Source organism: Homo sapiens, chromosome 3, assembly GCF_000001405.40.
Source record: "Homo sapiens chromosome 3, GRCh38.p14 Primary Assembly".
NCBI classification, from domain to species: Eukaryota; Metazoa; Chordata; class Mammalia; order Primates; family Hominidae; genus Homo; species Homo sapiens.
In genome coordinates, this window is record NC_000003.12 from 135,014,548 (window position 1) to 135,038,300 (window position 23,753).

A 23,753-nucleotide genomic window follows, 5' to 3' on the forward strand; every position below is an offset into this window, starting at 1 on the left:
ATGTTTAATTTTAATGCAGCAAATTGGCTATTGAGTGTGTGCTGGTGGCTGGCACTGTGCTAAACACTGGGAAAACATGTGTCCTTGTGGGGCTGCAGACCAGTGGAGGACACATGCCTGCCCAGCGTCCAGGTCACCCTTCCAAATGGATCACATTTTGAAGCCTGCCTTGCCTGATGAGAGCATGTGTCATTCATGAAGCAATTTCCCTGCAGGCCTTAGTGGAGTCACACAGAGCAAGGCCCTGGCATTCCACAGTGATGGCCCACCTGGAGCTGGCTTTCATGCAGGCATAAATCACCCTCTCTTTTATGAGTTGTTATACTTATTTCTTCCAGTTTTTGCTTTCTGGTTTTACTTTCCTTTCTTCTTATTTAATAGACCTCAAGAGGGAAAGAATTTCTGGTCACAGCCAATCACAGATTAACCCCCTGTCTTTAGGAACAAAAGGACCCTGGGCTGCAGGTGTGTGTGGAGGAGAGTGGGGGTGTGTTAGAAACTCCCGTGTATGGCACCCCAGCCTCACAGGACCTCACCTCCACCTCTGGTCCTGACTCCCCCTGTGCGTGGCCATTCCAGCAACTGCCCTCTTGCCTTTTGCTCATGGAGTCTGACTACATCCTTCTGTGGGCCGGACTGCCGCTTTCATCTCCCAGTGACAGTGCTTTTCTCAGTGCTGTCCAGTTGTCCAGTGCCTGGTTTTTTTTTTTTGAGATGGAGTTTTGCTCCATTGCCCAGGCTGGAGTGCAGTGGCATGATCTCGGCTCACTGCAACCTCTACCTCCTGGGTTCAAGCGATTCTCCTGCCTCAGCCTCCCAAGTAGCTGGAATTACAGTCACATGCCACCACACCCAGCTAATTTTTAGCATTTTTAGTAGAGACGGGGTTTCACCATGTTGGCCAGGCTGGTCTCGAACTCCTGACCTCAGGTGATCTGCTCGCCTCTGCCTCCCAAAGTGCTGGGATTATAGGTGTGAGCCACCATGCCCAGCTTGTTTTGCCATCCCTAATGTCACTGGGCATCTAGGTCTCTGGGAGCCTCAGGATCCCTGGCTGCTTACCAATGACCCAGTGGCCTTTGGCATACCCCTGAGAGCAGACAGAGATCTGCTGACTATGAAAAGGTGGCACAGATCCAGAAAATGCTGATCTTTTAACCTGGATGAACTTGAAAATGGCCTGGGGGAGGTTTTAAATAAAGATGGAGTGTGTCTGTGGCTGGGACTGCTTTAGCTGGATAGTCTGGGAAGGCCTCTTTGAAGAGGTGACACCTGAGCTAAGGCCAGAAAAATGAGGAGCCAACCACACATAGAGAAGTGGGAAAGGCATACCAGGAAGAGGACCCAGACAGGACAAAGGCCCTGAGGTGGGAAGATCTTGGCAGTGTCAAGGACCAGATAGGACCATGGGCTGGAAGTAGCAGAGGAGAAGAGTGGTTGAGATGAGGTCTGGGAAGTAGCCAGGAGCTAGTGGCAGCAGCACAGACGTTGCTCTCAACTTTCCTTCCTGACAAGTGGAGAAAGCTAGCCCTCCTGGTTGGTGCAATTATAAATGGGTAAAGGTGGGGATGAGTTTGGAGATTGAAGGGCCTTCATTCTGAAGTGATCAGCTGCCACGTCTACTTTAATGTCATAGTTTAAGAGAATACTAAAGAAGCAAGGTTTGGGTCACCTTAAAGTACTTCCAGCAACAGCCTCTGTTTTCCAATAAAATGCAGATATGCGATAATAGCATATGAAATGATAGGGGTGTGTGGTTTCACCTAGGATCTGTGTCAGTGGGTTTGATGGTTTCAGATTTTCTCCTGATTCACCATTTGCCAATAATATACTCTTTGCAGAGAAACAAGCTCAGGCTGAAGTCTATTGCCTCTGTAAGTGTGAAGGAAGCTGTTGGAGAGATTGGAGGAGGGGAACAAGTGATCCAACCTAAGTGAAACAATAATTCTAATAATTACAACCACCACCACTCTGGGCAATATGTGCACAGAGCTGGTTGCAGTGCAGCCAGTGTGGAAGAGCAGACTTTGAGGGGCTGAGGGCAAGAAATGCCAGTTGCCTTTCCCATGGCCACCCAGTGCATCAGTCATAGGCAGGATCAGGCCTAAAGACCCACCCTGGCCAGGGTCTGGCTGGCCAGGTGAGCCCAGGCTCCCCTACATGGCAGCGGGGTGCCAGTTCCTTCCTCTTGCCTGGGAAAATTAATAGCTTTTTTTCCTTCTTTCAAGATCAAAATAAAAATTTCACTGATTAGCATTGCTTCCATCCCATCCATGTGATGTCTCTTCCTTAAAAGATCCCATCAGGCTCCTTTCTCGGGACTCTGGCCAGGTATGTTTGCCCGCTGCAGAGATTCCCAGAGTTCTCCTGCTTATCTGGGCTGTAGCTCACCCCAAACAGCTCCCTTCCCTCATCTCCAGGCATCCCTGAAGCTTGAAGGGAAGGAGGAGGCAGAACTGGCAGACTTCTTCCTTAGGCAGGCTGGGGACATATTGTTCAAATTTAGGCCTTATCCTCCAAGAATGAAAATACGTGATGCTTATGTGAATAAGTATTTGTGATTGAATTAAATGTAAGTACAGGGCACTTCTAATTCACAGCTCTGTGTGCAAGTGCAGGGTCTGTGTCACCAAGCACCGCCTTCACTGCTGGGCTGGCAGTGAAGGTGGCTCCTGCATCTCCCACCTTCCCTGCTCATCTGTCTTGTTTGCCTCTCCCAGCTTTGTCAAATGTAACGTGAAAGAAAGGGAAATTAAAAGAAAACAAACAAAAGAGAGATTTTCCCAGAGGGGAAATCAGATTTATCCTAAAGTAATTAAATGTGTAGGAAACTGAGAACAAAGGATTGCAAATAGTGTGCGTGTGTGAGTGAGAGAGAGAATAAATCATTATTTCACTGGCAGCCGGAGCCCTCCAATGAATCTTAAACTCAGGTCCCTGTGAAGTGGAGTAGGCAGGGGAATCGGACCATAGCTGTGGCTCTGGTGTCCCAGCACCTGCTTCCCGTAGCTCCCACAGCTCTTCTGCTAGGCTTGGGGACTGGGGGACTGGGGTATGCCCTCCCAGTCGTGGTTGGTGGAGCTACTGTTCACTCCTTTTCTATGCTGCCTCCTATGCTCCCCTCCCTGTGGGACTGGCCTTCTCTGTGTTGAGTACTTGGGAGTCTTGGCAGGCTCCTGTTGCCCAAGCACCTGGTGGCACTGGGCGTGTCTTTTTCCTTTGTCTCATTACTTAGAGGCTGAGTGTGTTGGGGTCAAGGACTGTGTCTTTTCACTGGGGCATGCCCAAGTGTCCATGCAGGGCCTGAACTGCTGTGGTTGCTCAGTCTGTGTTTGTTGAATTAATGAAGGGGCCCTTAAACATTCAGAGACATTGAGGTTGTCGCACTATGACCTTTCACTGCAGCTGCTGTTGTGGCTGGGGAGGCAGGCACATGCACCATGCCTGGACTGTGAGGGGGGGCATGATGAGAGCTCCAGGGAGGGCAGAGGAGGTAGGAGAAGCAGTCAGGTAGGAGATGGTGTTTAACCTGGGCCTTGAAAGGTGGACAAGTCTTTGACGTAAAGGGGAAAAAACATCTTCTTCAGAAAGTTGATGTGAAGCCCCCAAAATGCAGGGTGCTTGTACTTCCAAGCAGGCCCCGTGATCATCCCATCTTCCCCATGTTCTGACTAGCTTAGACCCATTAAGGCAGAGGTAATTTGAGATCATGTGCTGACAAGTGGCTAAGAAGGCCTTTTGGCTACTATGATGGGGGTGCTGAGCAAGAGCTGACTTCCTGGGGGCTTCCTGGGGACAAAGTCTACACAGCCCATCTGATGCTCCTCCCACCTCCAGGAATTTGCTGATGCTGTCACTTCATTCTGTAATGGCCTTTCTCCAAAATGCTGCCCTCCCTTTCTTCGAAGACCAGCTCAGATGTCACCTTCCTCCCTTTCTCAGCCCACTGCAATCCCACCCCTTCTTAAAGCACCCACCGATCTCCTCCATGAAATCTTCCCAGCTCCCTACAGCTTCCCAGCAATCTTTGTTGTGAACATATTTAGTAGATACCTTTGAACAAATTTAGCAGATACCTTTGAACATATTTAGCAGATTCTTGAAACCTCTGCTTACACCAGCAACCACAATCCACCCACCTTTTCCTATGATAGACCCATCTGTGAGCCTCGCAGGACACAAACAGTGTCTCATTCTTCTTGGGGACATGTAGCCTAGCACTGTGTCTGCTGAGTGAATGCCGGCCTCATTTCCTCCACAGACCAATTTACTAACATGTTTTCAGTGGCTACGATGTGACAGGGATTGCACATGGGCTTTGGTGATGGTCTCATTTACTCCTCAATGCTGAACAGGAATGAGCCTCGCCAGCTGATAGGGACTGAGAGATAGGAATTCTAAGCTGAGGCTGTGCCTTGGAGAGGCATGAGGCAGAGAGGACAGGGGAGAGAGGGAGCATCAGGGAAGTCTGTCTGTGAGCACCACGTGTTCAGTGGCGTTTCCTACCAGGGCCTCAGCCATCACAGCCACCAAAGGGAGCTCTGCGTGCCCCACTCCACAATACCTGGAGGCCCCACACCCCATACCTCAGACCCCGAGCCTTTAGCACCAGCACAGGAGGTGGCTGCCCCCACAGCAGTAGGCTTGTTGGCTGAGCAAGATTCTTCCCTACCTCTTCCAAAGGCCTGAAATCCCATCACAAAGCAGTCTTATCCCCCAGGGATAAGAATGGAGCATGTATCTGGGGTCCCTTAGGCTGGTCAAGCAGGGTGGGGCTTTAAAACGGCTTCCACCCCAGGACTCTGGGGGCCAAAGGGGAGTCATGTGTGTGCAAAGCAGACATAAGCCTTTAAAGGAATAGCATTGCAGTTATTCATCTCTGCTGTCCAAAGACTTGCCTGTAGATGAATATGTCAGAAAAATGACATTTTCTTTTCTAATCACAGAAATAAAATATGCCTATCGTAGAAACATGGAAGATATGGGAGATATAAAGAAAAAATGAAAATCACCCAGAATGACACCATCTGAATAATTTCTACCAGCCCTTTGATATATTTTATTTTAGCATTGTGTGTGTATGGGATCACATTGTAAGCAATTTTATATCCTTCATCCATTGAATATTACATTGTGATCGTTTTCCCTATCATTAAATTTATTGGAAAACATTTTTAATGCCTTCATAATATTCAATCTTGTGGCTGATCCATAATTTATTTAACCATCTCCTCCTTTTTGAGCATTTAAGTTATTTATAATTTGTGAATATTAAAAATATCCACAAATAATAATGTTGTGAACAACTTCATTCATAAATCCATAGGCACTTTTGTGCTTATTTCTTTAGAATAGGTTCCTAGAACTGGAATCAAAGGGTCTGTACTTGGCAATGAGTCTGGATACCTACTGCCAAGGTATTGGTCTCCAGATGCAGGCTTTGCCTCAACAGCTGAGAATGCCCTTGTCCCAGCACCTTCATCCGCATTGAGCATTACTGCTTCTTAAACCTCTGCTAACTTGGTACAACAAACGGTGTTGGTTAATTTATCTGTTCATTGATTTTTTTTCCAGCTTTCCAATGGTGTGTCAGTGTTTTACTTATTATTTTAAGTGTTCCTTATATGTCAAGTTTATTACCATTTCCCCAAACATGTTACAATATTTCTTCCCGTTGGTTATTTGCCATTAATTTTTTTATAATAGCTGTGTTGAGATATAATTCACATACCATACAGTTCACCCAATTAAAGTGTACAATTCAATTCAGTGGTTTTTAGTGTATTCATAGAGTTGTGCAACCATCGCCACAATCAATTTTAGAACAGTTTCATCTTCCCAAAAAGAAGCCCTTGCCCAATAGCAGCCACTCCCCATTTCACTTCAACTCCTCCCCCAGCCCTAGGCATCCACCAATCCATTTGCCATCTCTATGGATTTGCCTATTCTGGACATTTCACATAAATGGAATCATGCGCTATATGGCCTTTTATAATTGGTTTCTTTTGCCTAGCAAAATGTTTTCAAGGTTGTAGCATGTCTCAATACCTCAATTTGCCATTAGACTTTCTTATGATTTTAATAGCAGCAGTTTTAAATTTTTATGTATTGACTGTTTCAAGCTTTCCCTTTGTGATCTACCCCTCCTATTCTCCGAGGTTAGGTGTCCTCTAGTTAAATTTACAACTATATTTTCTGCTAATTTTTTTAAAACTACTTTGTTAAAACATTAAAATAATTAAATCTCAAGGTAATATATGGATATAGTCCTGTTGTAAGTGGCTTTAGTTTTTACATTAATTCTTCAATCTACCTGGAATGTATTTTCGTAAATAGTAATAGGGTGAGAGTCTAATTTAATTTTTTTTTCCCAATAGTCAATTGACGTAGTGTATTTCTACCCCATTTGCTGCTACTGCTTCCTTCATAATTTATTAAGTTCTTAAATGTACTTGGGTCTATTTCAAGTCTTCTCTGTTACAGTGCCTTGTTTATCTATGATTGTACCAGTGTTGTATTTTCTAATTCTAACAGTTGTAAACTAAGCTACATCCTGGTTAGACAAGTCACCTCTCTTATTGTTTTTACAGTCTTTCTTAATTCCTTTGCCTATTCATTTTACCAGAAGATCTTAGAATTATTTTGTCACATCTATCTGTCTTCTTTTTAACCATGCATTTTCCCCACCAGTAAACAGCTGCCAATAATTTTATTTGTTGTGTTTTTTAAATAATACATTAATTTGGGAATTGATTGTATTCAGTCTTCCATCTGGTAACATATGTTTCATATTGTCAAATCTTATTTTATATATTTTATTATGTTTTTAATTTTTTCTATTTCTGTGCCACAATTTAGGGCCTTCCCGATGTCTTTGATTGCTTTTGATTTTTTTTATTGCTATTGTGAGTGGATTTCTAAAACTGGTTATTTCTGGTATTAAAGAAATCTCTCCCCCCACCCCCCACCGGTTTACTTTTCTCAACACTCTTTTCTAATTATAAGATATTTTCTGGTTGTTTCCTTTGCAATTTCTATGTCTTTAATCATACTGTCCAAAGCGATGATTATTTTTTCTTCCTTTTTAATAGTTACATCTCTAATTTCTGTTTCATTTCTTATTGCCCTGGTCTGATCTTTGAAAAGTGTAAAGCATTAGTGAAGGGGAATAAGATTATTTCTCTCTAATTTTAATGGGACTGCCTTTTGTTGTTTCATCAATAAGAATTGTGTAGGTTTAAAGTAGAATGCTAGGAAGAAAATAACACATATTAACTTGAAAGAATAGTAAAGAAGAATATATATGTTTGGAAATAAGGATATTGTTTTCCTTGTTGATCAACTGACATGAAATTTTGATTACTATTAATGAAAACATATGAAACTATATTTCAATTTTAGGATCAACCTTAGTCATGTTGAATGTTGTGTTTTGTTTGTTTGTTTGTTTTAGACAGAGTCTCGCTCTGTCGCCCAGGCTGGAGTGCAGTGGCACGATCTCGGCTCACTGCAAGCTCTGCCTCCTGGGTTCACGCCATTCTTCTGCCCCAGCCTCCCGAGTAGCTGGGACTACAGGCGCCCGCCACCATGCCCGGCTAATTTTTTGTATTGACGAGGTTTCACCATGTTAGCCAGGATGGTCTCGATCTCCTGACCTTGTGATCCCCCTGCCTCGGCCTCCCAAAGTGCTGGGATTACAGGCGTGAGCCACCGCGCCCGGCCTGTTGTGTTTGTTTTACAGTGCTCTTGTTTAATGCTTACATCTGTATTAATATGTAAATTTCTCTCTCTTTTTTTAGTTACATTGCCACATTTTGGTATAAGATTTTTACTAACTTCATAAAATGAACTAGACAGAATTTTATATTTTTTAATTCATGAGGCAGTTAATATAGCATGGAATTATGTTTCTTAAAAGTTTGAAGAAACCCACTTGTAACACTACTCGGTCTTGGAATCTTTCTCAGATGTAAACTTTGGTAGTTTTGAAAAATTCTGTCCTTATAATTGACCTCTTAAGTTTTTATTTGTTCTTGTGTCACAATTTGATAATTTACATTTTCTAGAAAAAGTATTAAATTTGCTGGGATTTTTCAATTCATAAGCACAGTACCATATAGAAAGGTTTTAAAACAGAAGACAACACTGTCTGTTGTTGTATCCCCTTCCTTATTACTTGTGTTATTTATTTTCTCTCATTCTCATTATTTATAACAATAATGTAGAGAACTTTGCATTTAAATGGGTTTTATTACTCACCTCCAGCTTCCTCATTCTCAAATTCTTCATTTGGATTCATTACTCAATAGGGTGGAGTGTGTTTTCAAGTATTATGTTTTTTCTAAAATCATATGTTATAACTTTAGAGCTCATGTGTGTCTTGAAGTGTGTTTGTTGCTCCACATTTAGACAGTGTGTTGGTCAAGTAGAAAATGTCTGGCCACAATCATTTTCTGCAAAATTCAGTAGATATTGTCCAACGTGTTCTGTTCTTGCCTTTGTGAGATGACGGGAGGCTAGTCCTTCATTGGTTATCTGGTTTCTTCTTTTACTTTTTCTCCTGCCTGAATTCTTGTTGATTTTTAAAAGTCCTTTTGGACAAATATGAGAGCTTTCAAACATAATGTATTAAGATGTATTAAGTTGTTTCTGTGTGTATGTTTGTATGTGTATGTTAACAAGAGTATGAGATTAATATGTTCAGTATGATGAGAAACAGGCACTCTTACTGCCTTAAAATACATCTCCCATGGAGTACAGCAGTTTTTCTCATCCTCTGCATTAGTGAAATTTTGGTCTGAATAATTCTTTGTTGTGGGGAGCTGTCCTGTGCATTGTAGAAGATTTAGCAGGATCCTTGGCCTCTATTCATTAGATGCCAGTAGCACCCCCTCTCCTCAAGTTGTGACAGCCAAAATATCTCCAGAAATTGTTAAATATTTCCTGGGGTTGGGGGTTGGTGCCAGAATCGCCCCCTGTTGAGAATCAGTGCAATAGAAGGTGGCCTGACTTGTATTTTTTTATTTAGAACTTAGGGGCAGAAATAGATCATTTCCACTATTTTATTTCAAGTTTGCTCTGTTTCAGGCAAAAATCCATTTGTGTGCCTCAGTTTATGTTTTTAAATTTCACTTTCATGACCTAATAATTGATGGAAATCCCTGAAGGTTCTAGGACTGTGTCAATTTGTAGTATATGCAGGCTTCAAGTTTTTACTTCTAGTTTTTATGGTATTTTAGTGGGAATCTGGGAGAAACTGTGTCAGGCATTGCTGTCTAGCCACTATTTTATACCATTCTTCTTTTTATGTGAATTTTCTCACCCTGTGCATGTTTATACTTTAAACTCTTTAAAAAATAATTCCTGTTTCTTAGGAGAATTGTTTTGAATATATAGTTTGGTATTTTAGGTGAATATATCACTGGTTAAGATTATAATTTGGGATGAACAATGAAGTAGTTTATTTTGGGCCAAACTGAAAAGGGGCCCCGCTGCAACTTTAAATACATGTAATCAGCTCTTCCAGACACCACCAACACTTGGTTCAGGCCACACGTGGTAATGATGGCTGAGCTGAGCTATCAGCTTACAGTCTCTACCTAGTCAATTCTGAAACCAGGCAGTGATGAAAATCCCCTCTAAATGCAAAGAAGTGTGAGACTCAGTTGAAGCATGGTGTGAAAACAGTTTGGCTGCATACCCTTTGCCCAACTTCATCTCAAGAGACTCGGGAAAAATATAGAAACACCTCCTTTCCATATTGTTTATTTTCATGTCACAAACTGTTGGGTGGAATGAAAACAGGGCTCTAGTGTTGCTCTAGTTGTGAAAATACAACTTTTACTTCTTCTGTTTTAATCCCAGAGAGGGGAAGTTCCAACTAATCTGCTAAAGCCACCTTCTTTAAAACCTTTCAACCACGTGGTTTAGAAACACGGATGGACATCGCCAGAATTTAAAAGTGTGCTAGTTCCCAGCCAGAGCAGAGCACGTGTCTGGGGGCTCCCTTTTCATCTGGTCTCCATCCATCCTACACCGGGGGGTTGTCTAGCACCTTTTTCCTTCCTGTTGTAGTGGGCCCACTTTGGAAATGGCAGCTTTTCATTTCGTAAATTAATTTCTATTTTTATTAAAGTAATGGATTAAACAATTCCATGAGTACCAAAAGGAAAAAATCAGTTTCCTGATCATCTCCCCTACCCCATTCTTTTCCCTAACACTTCCTATCTGTTTCTTAGATATACTCCCATTTTTTGAATTATATGCTTAATGTGCTTTATTGATGTCAATTTAGACATTGTCTTTTGACTTCCCTTTATCAATGCTGAGGATTTGGATCTCTTGCCCCTTTCTATATTTTTCTTCTTCTCTTATTTTGCTAATATCTATTACTATATGTATTATATATCCATGTGGTAATTATATATGATTTTTCATATCTACATATGTATAATACAAAATGTATATTTGTTCACTTTGTTAACATATATTTACAACTTTTTTGTTAAATGTAGCGTGTTTAGATTATTATATCTATACAACCTTCCTTCCTTCCCTCCCTCCCTCCCTCCCCCCTTCCTTCCTTCCTTCCCTCCTTCCTTCCCTCCTTCCTTCTTTCTTTTTTTTTTTTTTTTCAAGAAGGTTACAAAGAATATTTATTTATTTATTTATTTATTATTATACTTTAAGTTTTAGGGTACATGTGCACACTGTGCAGGTTAGTTACATACGTATACATGTGCCATGCTGGTGTGCTGCACCCACTAACTCGTCATCTAGCATTAGGTATATCTCCCAATGCTATCCCTCCCCCCTCCCCCCACCCCACAACAATCCCCAGAGTGTGATGTTCCCCTTCCTGTGTCCATGTGATCTCATTGTTCAGTTCCCACCTATGAGTGAGAATATGCGGTGTTTGGTTTTTTGTTCTTGCGATAGTTTACTGAGAATGATGATTTCCAATTTCATCCATGTCCCTACAAAGGACATGAACTCATCATTTTTTATGGCTGCATAGTATTCCATGGTGTATATGTGCCACAATTTGCTTAATCAAGTCTATCATTGTTGGACATTTGGGTTGGTTCCAAGTCTTTGCTATTGTGAATAATGCCGCAATAAACATACGTGTGCATGTGTCTTTATAGCAGCATGATTTATAGTCCTTTGGGTATATACCCAGTAATGGGATGGCTGGGTCAAATGGTATTTCTAGTTCTAGATCCCTGAGGAATCGCCACACTGACTTCCACAATGGTTGAACTAGTTTACAGTCCCACCAACAGTGTAAAAGTGTTCCTATTTCTCCACATCCTCTCCAGCACCTGTTGTTTCCTGACTTTTTAATGATTGCCATTCTAACTGGTGTGAGATGGTATCTCATTGTGGTTTTGATTTGCATTTCTCTGATGGCCAGTGATGATGAGCATTTTTTCATGTGTTGTTTGGCTGCATAAATGTCTTCTTTTGAGAAGTGTCTGTTCATGTCCTTCACCCACTTTTTGATGGGGTTGTTTGTTTTTTTCTTGTAAATTTGTTTGAGTTCATTGTAGATTCTGGATATTAGCCCTTTGTCAGATGAGTAGGTTGCAAAAATTTTCTCCCATTTTGTAGGTTGCCTGTTCACTGTGATGGTAGTTTCTTTTGCTGTGCAGAAGCTCTTTAGTTTAATTAGATCCCATTTGTCAATTTTGTCTTTTGTTGCCATTGCTTTTGGTGTTTTAGACATGAAGTCCTTGCCCATGCCTATGTCCTGAATGGTAATGCCTAGGTTTTCTTCTAGGGTTTTTATGGTTTTAGGTCTAACGTTTAAGTCTTTAATCCATCTTGAATTGATTTTTGTATATGGTGTAAGGAAGGGATCCAGTTTCAGCTTTCTACATATGGCTAGCCAGTTTTCCCAGCACCATTTATTAAATAGGGAATCCTTTCCCCATTGCTTGTTTTTCTCAGGTTTGTGAAAGATCAGATAGTTGTAGATATGCGGCGTTATTTCTGAGGGCTCTGTTCTGTTCCATTGATCTATATCTCTGTTTTGGTACCAGTACCATGCTGTTTTGGTTACTGTAGCCTTGTAGTATAGTTTGAAGTCAGGTAGTGTGATGCCTCCAGCTTTGTTCTTTTGGCGTAGGATTGACTTGGCAATGCGGGCTCTTTTTTGGTTCCATATGAACTTTAAAGTAGTTTTTTCCAATTCTGTGAAGAAAGGCATTGGTAGCTTGATGGGGATGGCATTGAATCTGTAAATTACCTTGGGCAGTATGGCCATTTTCACGGTATTGATTCTTCCTACCCATGAGCATGGAATGTTCTTCCATTTGTTTGTATCCTCTTTTATTTCCTTGAGCAGTGGTTTGTAGTTCTCCTTGAAGAGGTCCTTCACATCCCTTGTAAGTTGGATTCCTAGGTATTTTATTCTCTTTGAAGCAATTGTGAATGGGAGTTCACTCATGATTTGGCTCTCTGTTTGTCTGTTGTTGGTGTATAGGAATGCTTGTGATTTTTGCACATTGATTTTGTATCCTGAGACTTTGCTGAAGTTGCTTATCAGCTTAAGGAGATTTTGGGCTGAGACAATGGGGTTTTCTACATATACAATCATGTCATCTGCAAACAGGGACAATTTGACTTCCTCTTTTCCTAATTGAATACCCTTTATTTCCTTCTCCTGCCTAATTGCCCTGGCCAGGACTTCCAGCACTATGTTGAATAGGAGTGGTGAGAGAGGGCATCCCTGTCTTGTGCCAGTTTTCAAAGGGAATGCTTCCAGTTTTTGCCCATTCAGTATGATATTGGCTGTGGGTTTGTCATAGATAGCTCTTATTATTTTGAAATACGTCCCATCAATACCTAATTTATTGAGAGTTTTTAGCATGAAGGGTTGTTGAATTTTGTCAAAGGCCTTTTCTGCATCTATTGAGATAATCATGTGGTTTTTGTCTTTGGCTCTGTTTATATGCTGGATTACATTTATTGATTTGCGTATATTGAACCAGCCTTGCATCCCAGGGATGAAGCCCACTTGATCATGGTGCATAAGCTTTTTGATGTGCTGCTGGATTCGTTTTGCCAGTATTTTATTGAGGATTTTTGCATCAATGTTCATCAAGGATATTGGTGATATTGGTCTAAAATTCTCTTTTTTGGTTGTGTCTCTGCCCGGCTTTGGTATCAGAATGATGCTGGCCTCATAAAATGAGTTAGGGAGGATTCCCTCTTTTTCTATTGATTGGAATAGTTTCAGAAGGAATGGTACCAGTTCCTCCTTGTACCTCTGGTAGAATTCGGCTGTGAATCCATCTGGTCCTGGACTCTTTTTGCTTGGTAAGGTATTGATTATTGCCACAACTTCAGATCCTGTTATTGGTCTATTCAGAGATTCAACTTCTTCCTGGTTTAGTCTTGGGAGAGTGTATGTGTCAAGGAATTTATCCATTTCTTCTAGATTTTCTAGTTTATTTGCGTAGAGGTGTTTGTAGTATTCTCTGATGGTAGTTTGTATTTCTGTGGGATCGGTGGTGATATCCCCTTTATCATTTTTTATTGTGTCTATTTGATTCTTCTCTCTTTTTTTCTTTATTAGTCTTGCTAGCGGTCTATCAATTTTGTTGATCCTTTCAAAAAACCAGCTCCTGGATTCACTAATTTTTTGAAGGGTTTTTTGTGTCTCTATTTCCTTCAGTTCTGCTCTGATTTTAGTTATTTCTTGCCTTCTACTAGCTTTTGAATGTGTTTGCTCTTGCTTTTCTAGTTCTTTTAATTGTGATGTTAGGGTGTCAATTTTTGATCTCTCCTGCTTTCTCTTGTAGGCATTTAGTGCTATAAATTTCCCTCTACACACTGCTTTGAATGTGTCCCAGAGATTCTGGTATGTTGTGTCTTTGTTCTCGTTGGTTTCAAAGAACATCTTTATTTCTGCCTTCATTTCGTTACGTACCCAGTAGTCATTCAGGAGCAGGTTGTTCAGTTTCCATGTAGGTGAGCGGTTTTGAGTGAGATTCTTAATCCTGAGTTCTAGTTTGATTGCACTGTGGTCTGAGAGATAGTTTGTTATAATTTCTGTTCTTTTACCTTTGCTGAGGAGAGCTTTACTTCCAAGTATGTGGTCAATTTTGGAATAGGTGTGGTGTGGTGCTGAAAAAAATGTATATTCTGTTGATTTGGGGTGGAGAGTTCTGTAGATGTCTATTAGGTCTGCTTGGTGCAGAGCTGAGTTCAATTCCTGGGTATCCTTGTTGACTTTCTGTCTCGTTGATCTGTCTAATGTTGACAGTGGGGTGTTAAAGTCTCCCATTATTAATGTGTGGGAGTCTAAGTCTCTTTGTAGGTCACTCAGGACTTGCTTTATGAATCTGGGTGCTCCTGTATTGGGTGCATATATATTTAGGATAGTTAGCTCTTTTTGTTGAATTGATCCCTTTACCATTATGTAATGGCCTTCTTTGTCTCTTTTGATCTTTGTTGGTTTAAAGTCTGTTTTATCAGAGACTAGGATTGCAACCCCTGCCTTTTTTTGTTTTCCCTTTGCTTGGTAGATCTTCCTCCATCCTTTTATTTTGAGCCTATGTGTGTCTCTGCACGTGAGATGGGTTTCTTGAATACAGCACACTGATGGGTCTTGACTCTTGCCAATTTGCCAGTCTGTGTCTTTTAATTGGAGCATTTAGTCCATTTACATTTAAAGTTAATAGTGTTATGTGTGAATTTGATCCTGTCATTATGATGTTAGCTGGTCATTTTGCTCGTTAGTTGATGCAGTTTCTTCCTAGTCTGGATGGTCTTTACATTTTGGCATGATTTTGCAGCAGCTGGTACTGGTTGTTCCTTTCCATGTTTAGCGCTTCCTTCAGAAGCTCTTTTAGGGCAGGCCTGGTGGTTACAAAATCTCTCAGCATTTGCTTGTCTATAAAGTATTTTATTTCTCCTTCACTTATGAAGCTTAGTTTGGCTGGATATGAAATTCTGGGTTGAAAATTCTTTTCTTTAAGAATGTTGAATATTGGCCCCCACTCTCTTCTGGCTTGTAGGGTTTCTGCCGAGAGATCCGCTGTTAGTCTGATGGGCTTCCCTTTGAGGGTAACCCGACCTTTCTCTCTGGCTGCCCTTAACATTTTTTCCTTCATTTCAACTTTGGTGAATCTGACACTTATGTGTCTTGGAGTTGCTCTTCTCGAGGAGTATCTTTGTGGCATTCTCTGTATTTCCTGAATCTGAACGTTGGCCTGCCTTGCGAGATTTGGGAAATTCTCCTGGATAATATCCTGCAGAGTGTTTTCCAACTTGGTTCCATTCTCCCCATCACTTTCAGGTATACCAATCAGAGGTAGATTTTGTCTTTTCACATAGTCCCATATTTCTTGGAGGCTTTGCTCGTTTCTTTTTATTCTTTTTTCTCTAAACTTCCCTTCTCGCTTCATTTCATTCATTTCATCTTCCATTACTGATACCCTTTCTTCCAGTTGATTGCATCGGCTCCTGAGGCTTCTGCATTCTTCACGTAGTTCTCGAGCCTTGGTTTTCAGCTCCATCAGCTCCTTTAAGCACTTCTCTGTATTGGTTATTCTAGTTATACATTCTTCTAAATTTTTTTCAAAGTTTTCAACTTCTTTGCCTTTGGTTTGAATTTCCTCCCATAGCTCAGAGTAATTTGATCGTCTGAAGCCTTCTTCTCTCAGCTCGTCAAAGTCATTCTCCGTCCAGCTTTGTTCTGTTGCTGGTGAGGAGCTGCGTTCCTTTGCAGGAGGAGAGGCGCTCTGCTTTTTAGAGTTTCCATTTTTTCTGTTCTGTTTTTTCCCTATCTTTGTGGTTTTATCTACTTTTGGTCTTTGATGATGGTGATGTACAGATGGGTTTTTGGTGTGGATGTCCTTTCTGTTTGTTAGTTTTCCTTCTAACAGACAGGACCCTCAGCTGCAGGTCTGTTGGAATACCCTGCAGTGTGAGGTGTCAGTATGCCCCTGCTGGAGGGTGCCTCCCAGTTAGGCTGGTCGGGGGTCAGGGGTCAGGGACCCACTTGAGGAGGCAGTCTGCCCGTTCTCAGATCTCCAGCTGCGTCCTGGGAGAACCACTGCTCTCTTCGAAGCTGTCAGACAGGGACATTTAAGTCCGCAGAGGTTACTGCTGTCTTTTTGTTTGTCTGTGCCCTGCCCCCAGAGGTGGAGCCTACAGAGGCAGGCAGGCCTCCTTGAGCTGTGGTGGGCTCCACCCAGTTCAAGCTTCCCTGCTGCTTTGTTTACCTAAGCAAGCCTGGGCAATGGTGGGCGCCCCTCCCCCAGCCTCGCTGCCGCCTTGCAGTTTGATCTCAGACTGCTGTGCTAGCAATCAGCGAGACTCCTTGGAGTAGGACCCTCGGAGCCAGGTGCGGCATGTAATCTCGTGGTGCGCCATTTTTTAAGCCCGTCGGAAAAGCGCAGTATTCGGGTGGGTGTGACCCTATTCTCCAGGTGCCGTCCATCACCCCTTTCTTTGATTAGGAAAGGGAACTCCCTGACCCCTTGCGCTTCCCGAGTCAGGCAATGTCTCGCCCTGCTTTGGCTCGTGCACGGTGCGCGCACCCACTGACCTGCGCCCACTGTCTGGCACTCCCTAGTGAGATGAACCCCGTACCTCAGATGGAAATGCAGAAATCACCTGTCTTCTGTGTCGTCAGGCTGAGAGCTGTAGACTGGAGCTGTTCCTATTCGGCCCTCTTGGCTCCTCCCTCAAGAAGGTTACAAAGAATCCCTTCTCTCTTTTCTTCCTTCTCTCTCTCTCTTTCTCCCTTTCTCTCTTTCTCTGTTTCTTGATGGGGTCTCACTCTGTAGCCTTGTCTGGAGTGTAGTGGCCTGGTCTCAGCTCACTGCAACTTCTGCCTCCTGGGCTCAAATAATCCTCCTGCCTCAGCATCCAGCGTAGCTGTGACTGGAGGTATACACCACCATGCCTGGCGAATTTTTGTATATTTTGTAGAGGCAGGGTTTCTCCACATTGTCCATGCTGGTCTTGAACTCCTGGGCTCAAGTGATCTGCCTGCCTGGATCTCCCAAATTGCCGGGGTTATAGGCATGAGCCACTGCATCCAGCTGCAACTATTTTTCAATGCTTAGCCAAGTAGAGTTACATTGTTATTTTCTTTTTCTTGTACTTTTTTCCACAAAGCCAATCAAAATTCTATAATAATAACAAATATTATTTTCCAAATGCTCAGATAGTTCAGATGATCTCCCAACTCCTTCCTCAAGTCCTCTCTTCAAAAGTATGCTTGAAAGGTAAATGTTTTGTATCCTCACTTCTCTGAAAATACAATTATCCTACCCTTATATTTCGTTGATTGGCTGGGTATGATGTCTAAGTTAAAAATCATTTTTCCTCCAAAATTTGAATACATTGATTTGGCTTCTTCTGCTTGTCAGTGCTGCTGTTGGGAAAGCCAGTGACATTTCAATTTTCCTTATTTTGTTTTTGGGTTTGGTTTGATTTTCTTCGTTGGAAGCATTCAAGTTCTTCTCTTTTATCCCTGAAATTCTGAAATTTCATGTTTCTTCTTTTTCTAATACTCATTGCCTGGGTACTGCACAGATATTTCAGTCTGGAGTTTGATGTCTTTTTATCTGATAAAATTTATTCTAGTGCTTTTTGGATAACTTCTATCCATTTTACCAGTTATCTTTCTCAAACTTTTGTTAGTAAGATATGAGACTTCTCAGATGGATTCTTTTATTTTTTTTTTTAAATCTCTTTTTTCTATCTCTGATTTTTTTTTTCTTTTTTTAGGTCATTTCTCCTACTTCATCATAAAACTATTTTATTGATTTGTTTTTATATTAGCTTTTATTTTTATTTCCTAAGACATTTATTTTCATAGCATCCTGTTTTACTTTCATGAGTGCAATATTGTTCCATCTCTCTGAGGATATTTATTCTAGTTTTAGACATTTTCTTCAATTATCTGCTTTGCTTCTTTTTCTTCTGAATCCTCTGTTTGTAGGTTTTGTTACCTCAGACTGAGGGCTTAAAAAATTGTATCTGAGCACCCAGGCCATCTCTTCATATTTTAGTGTGAGGCACTGAAAGGTGATCAGCAGCTCTATGTGAGTGGCGGGGGCTGATTGATGAATGGGTGCCATTGTTGGGTGGTGAGATGGCAAGATGATCAGTGCACTGAAGTTAGTATCCAGATATCTTTTCTCAGATGCCTTACAATTTTTAAGGAGAAAATTTCTCTAATCACTGAATTTTATTTATTCATTTGGTGGGAGCATGCTCCATCCCCTACTTCCCAGAACTGTGCTTTTGAGTTCCAGTGACAAAGAAGCTCATGTAGCCCCTCCAGAGACATGAAAATTGTGGCCATTTCTCAAAGTCAGTGTCTACTCCTCTCTTCAAAAATGTGTACAGACCTCTTGTATGCTGAGTATTCCTCCCAGTGCTCTTTGTCCAGGGGTAGTTTACACCTTTTCTCTTCTTTATTGTCATTGCAATGGGATTCCAAAAAGCAGCAAAGAGAAACATGTTTGAGTCAGAGCTTTGAGTGTAGGTGACATTGGTGGTAAAAGTCCATCTCCCTGAAGAATGACTAGCACTAGGAGCAGTGACCACCGTAATAACTGATGGACTTCAATGCAGGATTCAGTTTGTGTTGGGATAGGGCAGCATGGGGGAATTCCTTTCCTGCCAGTGTGACAGTCAGGGTAGATTCTGGAATCGTTTATGGTGGGTTCGGCTTAAAGACAGAGAGACAGTCTCAGAGAACCCAGGCCATGGTCATCCTGAAGAAAGGGTAGCATGCACCTTGTGTGGAAGGTCAGCTCCTCTTGGGGGTCCATGCTTTGCCTTTACAGCTAATAGAGTCTCCAGAATCAACCAGTCAACTCACACCTGTAGGAAACACATAGGCAGCTGCTCTCTCTGATATGTGTATTCACTCATTCTCAAACCTCCTGACTCTAAAGTGGGGAAATGTTTCAGCTTTCTGGGGCCTGTGGCTGTGAAAAATAAAATGTACACATGCATTTGGAGGGTCTAGGAAAGTTACCACTGTTCATTGAGGACCTGCTGTGCACAGGCATAGCACTGGGGATTCCACAGAGGTAAATTCTTCTTCGTAATGGATTTTGATCGCCTCCGAGGAAGATGGGAGATAACTAGAGCTGTCCTTAAGGATATGCAGGGTAGTATCTTAAAAAATGAGAAATTGCAGTTTCTGAATACATTGTTTGCAAATAGGTTGAGAGACAACCAGGAAATGAAGACTAATACGTTAGCTCTTTTCGTATTGCATGGAGAAGGCACCATCCAAGTCTAATGTATCCCTGCCCTGGCCTCTGAAAGCTGAATAATGTGTCACAGATTCAGAGAATTTTGTTGCCGTAAGGGACCCCAGAGGTTCTAGCAAAATGCCGCCTTTTGTAGATCCTGCTGCAGAGGAGCTATTGTGCTGCACGGTCTCCCTCACACCATTAGTGTCAAACCTCCGTCAATATTTAAACATTCATTATTCAGAATTTCATTTCTCTGCTTCTCTTTTTTTTTTAAACTCTGAGAAGGAAAGAAAAACACGGTTAGCAACTGTATCCTGTATTTCTTCAGGAAAGAAATGAGCCACTTCAAAGCTGAGCTGATTTACTGGATAAATATATATTTAGGCATTTGGGGACTTTAAATGTGTATGATTTACCAGAGAAACAGGGGGCATCCTTCAGAATCCACTATGCAAAGATATATTGACACAATTTCAACTGTATGGTTATGTCTCTGATAAATCAGCCTGCCTCCCTCAGACCTTCATGGTCCACTGGAGATAAAATATGCACCTCCCGTTCAGGGAGGGCAAGGGGCAGGCAGACTTCAAAGTACAGCTGGGTCTGCCTTGGAGGATCTCACAGGGAAAGGTCCTGTGCAGCACCAGAGGCTTGATCTGGGAATCACGTGTGAGGGCTGCAGGCTCTTGACTGTGCATCTGTAAACAGTTTCTGACTGCTCTGAGAGGCAGGTGCTGTCTGCCTGGGGGAGGATTAGAGGCTGAAAACCCATGCAGGAAACTGGACAGGTGGATTGTGGTGAATTGATAGCTAAATCTTGCACTTTAGTGCCTAGACAAGATTCGGTCTCAAGTCACAGCCGCAGGGACTCTGGACAAGTCCTGCCATGTGGCTGTGCCTGGGGTGCCCTGCCAAGGCAGCTGTCATGGCTTCCAGAAGCAGGCACTTTCTAAGGTCCCCAGCTGGAGGCCTATGAATGCTCAAGCAGGTGGGGGCCCCAGACTGTAGCTGACTTGTAAGTGCAACACTTTATTGCCTGGGAGCCTTTTGAAACCTTCCTGGGTGTAGACCCTACAGGATAGCCTCTGCCTGTAGGACCTGAATAGGATGCACAGCCAGAGGAAGGAGGACGATGGACAAGGAGGCTGTCATCTGGAGCTGAAGAAGGATACAGAGAAACCTTGAGTATGAAAGGCGGAGAAGAAAGCTGAGTGCTCACATGCTACCCAGGCTGGAGTAATCTTCTTGTAGTGCACTCCTTCCTACTGCCAGCTCATAGTCATTTCTCAGGCCAGCTTCCTCCGTTGCTACATTCCAATCTCATGCTTCTAACTCAGTGGGGTTTTGGAGTCACATGGCCTTAGCCTGGGGTTCTGCTGCCCACACGAAGTGGGGATGGGTTGTGCCAAACAACTCCCCTACTTCCTTCTCCTGTCCTGCATCCATCGCTCCTTGGGGAGGCTGCACCAAAACCTGCCATCACCCCTGCTTAGGGGTCTAGTTTCCGTTGTCCACAGGACTTCACCTTCAGCCTTTTTCCACTGAAAGAAACTGGCTTCTACCCACAGAGTTGAGATTTTGTTGCCTACTTCCACAGAGGGAGAAGGTAGACTTGCTTGGGGGAAAAAAGAACATTCTCTTATTCCAAGCCAGTATTTCCAATAATTACATGCAATGGTAAATGGAATTGGGAAAAGTGAATTACCTTTAATTAAGGAGTCTTTTATACTTAAAGTACATCCTAGGGAGCACATCCCTGGGTAATTAGAGGAGGAGGCTGAAATCTAGCGTGTTCTGTTTTGGGGCTTGGAATCCCACCAGGACCCTCCTGCTCATCAGCACAGTCCCTCTCATACTCATTTTCATGGGTCTGGCATCTGTTTCTGGGAAATGCTGGACAGCTGGAGACCTACTGTCCACTGGCCTTGAGGTACTACTCCAGCATCTCCTGCCACTGCACATATACTTGCATGATGCATTAGTCATATACCATTCCATAGCATATGAGCTTGTGGCAGGGTCAGGTGACTGGCCCATGTGGAGGGCTGTCTGTAACATGCCAGCACTGCTATACCACCAAAAAGACAAGTTTGGTCCATAGGGTAGTTGGCTCATGGGATTTGCCGAAGCATCTGGTCTAGCCAGGTCCCCAGGTTTGAAGAAAAGAGGGGCATAAGTGTATGGAAATCCTCTTTGGAGCTAACATTCATTTATCTATCTCTCCATTCATTTTTCCTTCCATCCACTCGTCTCTCCATCCATTCACTATTTCCACATACATCCACTTAGTACTCTCCAGTGGCTGCCAGGCTTTAGTCTAAATACTGAGGACAGAGAGGTAAGAAGCCGCTTCTGACCCCAGGAGCCTATGGTTGGGTGGGAAGACAGAGGAGGCCGTTGGCATAGGTAGCACAGCAAGGCCGTTGAGACGCTATCTCTGGAGGACTAGAGCCTCAGGCCCATATCATAACTACTCGGGGAGGGTGATGCCAGAGAGGACTGAGGCCAGTGCAACCAAGCAGCTGGGGGTTGCTTGAATTGGACAGGGAGAAAATCAATCAGGGAAGTGGTGGAATTGGCATATACCCATCCAAACCGGTCAGGATGGAGGAGGCAGGCCTGCATGGCCTGTGAGGTCAGCTGACCCCTCACTGTTTTCCCATTCTGTGTTGTCTTTGCCATGTGGGTGCTCTGCAGTGTATAGGCTACTGTGCCCTGAGACTGAGAGAGATGGGTACCTGCAGGCTTGCACAGTTCAAGTGTTGCTGTCTTCTACATTAACTTCACCCTTCAGACCTGTGGAGGGTCCTCCTAACTCAGCCACCATGAAAGTGTGACTGATGGGTGTCCTGGCCTTCATCTTCTTCTGAACCGTTGTATAAGCATGGGATAGGTTCCTTAACCTCTGTGATCAGTCAGGTCCTATGTCTATTTAGGATATTTCTAGAATATCTAGCAGCTAGGTCAGCTAGGTCCACAGGCAGCTAGGTCAGGAAACCCAAATATGGAAGCTGCATCTTGATCTGTGGACGGTAGCACTGGACTGATGTGACTGGGTTTCAGGGCTGCAGAGGTTTACAAAAGTGAGCAGTGGGGCTTGATGAGCAGTCCTGATGTGGCTATTAGGACAGCTTTCTGCTCTCCTGATTGATTGATTCGGGCAGCCAAGTGTCAGGCCAAGTGGGCAGGACCAGAGCAATGGGGTGGTAAATAGACTACCGAGAAGATAGATGGATTGTTGTTCTTTAATCAGGCATTCTCTCAAGACATGGGGAACATCTTGACCTGGGATATCGCCACCCTCATCCCAGGCCCAGTAATGAGAGAATTAGCACATGCTGAAGAGCTAGAGTAACTGCTCAGGCTTGGAAGCAAAATAGAGGGTTTTCTGTGCAGCAAATCACTTTGAAACTAAATCTCCTTACTCCAGATGCACTCTGAAAATGAAAAGTCTGTTCTTTGTTTCAAATCTCCAAGAGACAGGAAGAATACTGGGATCAGACTGTGGCCTCTGGGGAGGATTTGATAGAATGCTCCCTGGTCTTGGCCTTGAAAACTGGAGGAGGTTCAAATCCTCAGGGAGACGTCCCTTGAGGACAAATGCTTTGTACAGGAAAGCACTCGTTAGATATGTACTGGAGAAAATGACTGGTTTTGCATGAATTTGGCTTTTAAAGGTCACTAGCATTAGCTCCCAACATAAAACCGTTGGAAGGGATTTAGAAATCACATAGACCAAGTCCATTTGACAGAAGGGGAAACTGGGGTCCAGAGAGTTTAGGTGACTTGCCTATGACCAGGGACACCATTGATTTACCATCTATCTCCCCACCGCCCATCAGTGATGCTTTCTGTATAATGATAGAAAAGGAGTAAATGAACCAGCTAAAAGTTTGCACTGTATCTCAGATTCACTTTGGATAAAAGTCTTATTACTGAACAAGCCAAGAGGTACAAGATTGAAATGTGGATTTTACATTTCCTGGAGGTTTCATGATTTCTGCATTGAGTGGGTACAATTAATCTATGTTCTTTGAGTGGTGAATTTTATTAAACCAGGTTTTCTCTGCCTCCTCAGACACTGACTGGTTAAATGACTTATAAAATAAACTTGCAGGAATTCTGCAGTTAGTGTTAGAATTGGTGTGCCCCATATTAGGCTCTACCCTTTTCTTATCACAGTCATTGTTTACCTACCAGATCTCCCAACCTAAGAGCCGCAGGAACATGTGGGCTTATCACAGAGCTCGGGTGTGTCCCCTTCCTGCAAGTATGCTTCTCCCACTATCCTCACCAGAGTAAGGTGTGAGGGGCAAGTTAGCCATTTGTAGCTCCAGTGAACAGTCCAAGCTCCACTGGGGTAGCCTCCCTAAGTCCTGCTTATATAACATGTGTGAGTTTACTTTTCACCCGTGGTGGGGTAGGAATGACAGAAAATTCTTTGACACATATCCAAAGAAGAGATGGTGCCCATTTCTCCTCCCTTTGAATCTGGGCTGGGCTGTGATTATTTTG

General features: G+C 42.8%; 1 protein-coding gene across 1 annotated transcript in view, besides 1 other annotated feature; it reads left to right on the forward strand.

The window, feature by feature from the left end:
- Positions 1-23,753, forward strand: part of EPHB1 (EPH receptor B1) — a 465,208-nt gene that overhangs the window by 219,288 nt on the left and 222,167 nt on the right. The gene's annotated exons all lie outside the window — the stretch shown is intronic.
- Positions 4,548-5,048: an enhancer, noted in NCBI's record as "H3K4me1 hESC enhancer chr3:134737937-134738437 (GRCh37/hg19 assembly coordinates)". NCBI's record gives its function as "activates a minimal SCP1, AML or CMV promoter by ChIP-STARR-seq in naive H9 embryonic stem cells {active_cell/tissue: H9 hESC(naive)}" and the evidence as "EXISTENCE:reporter gene assay evidence [ECO:0000049][PMID:30033119]".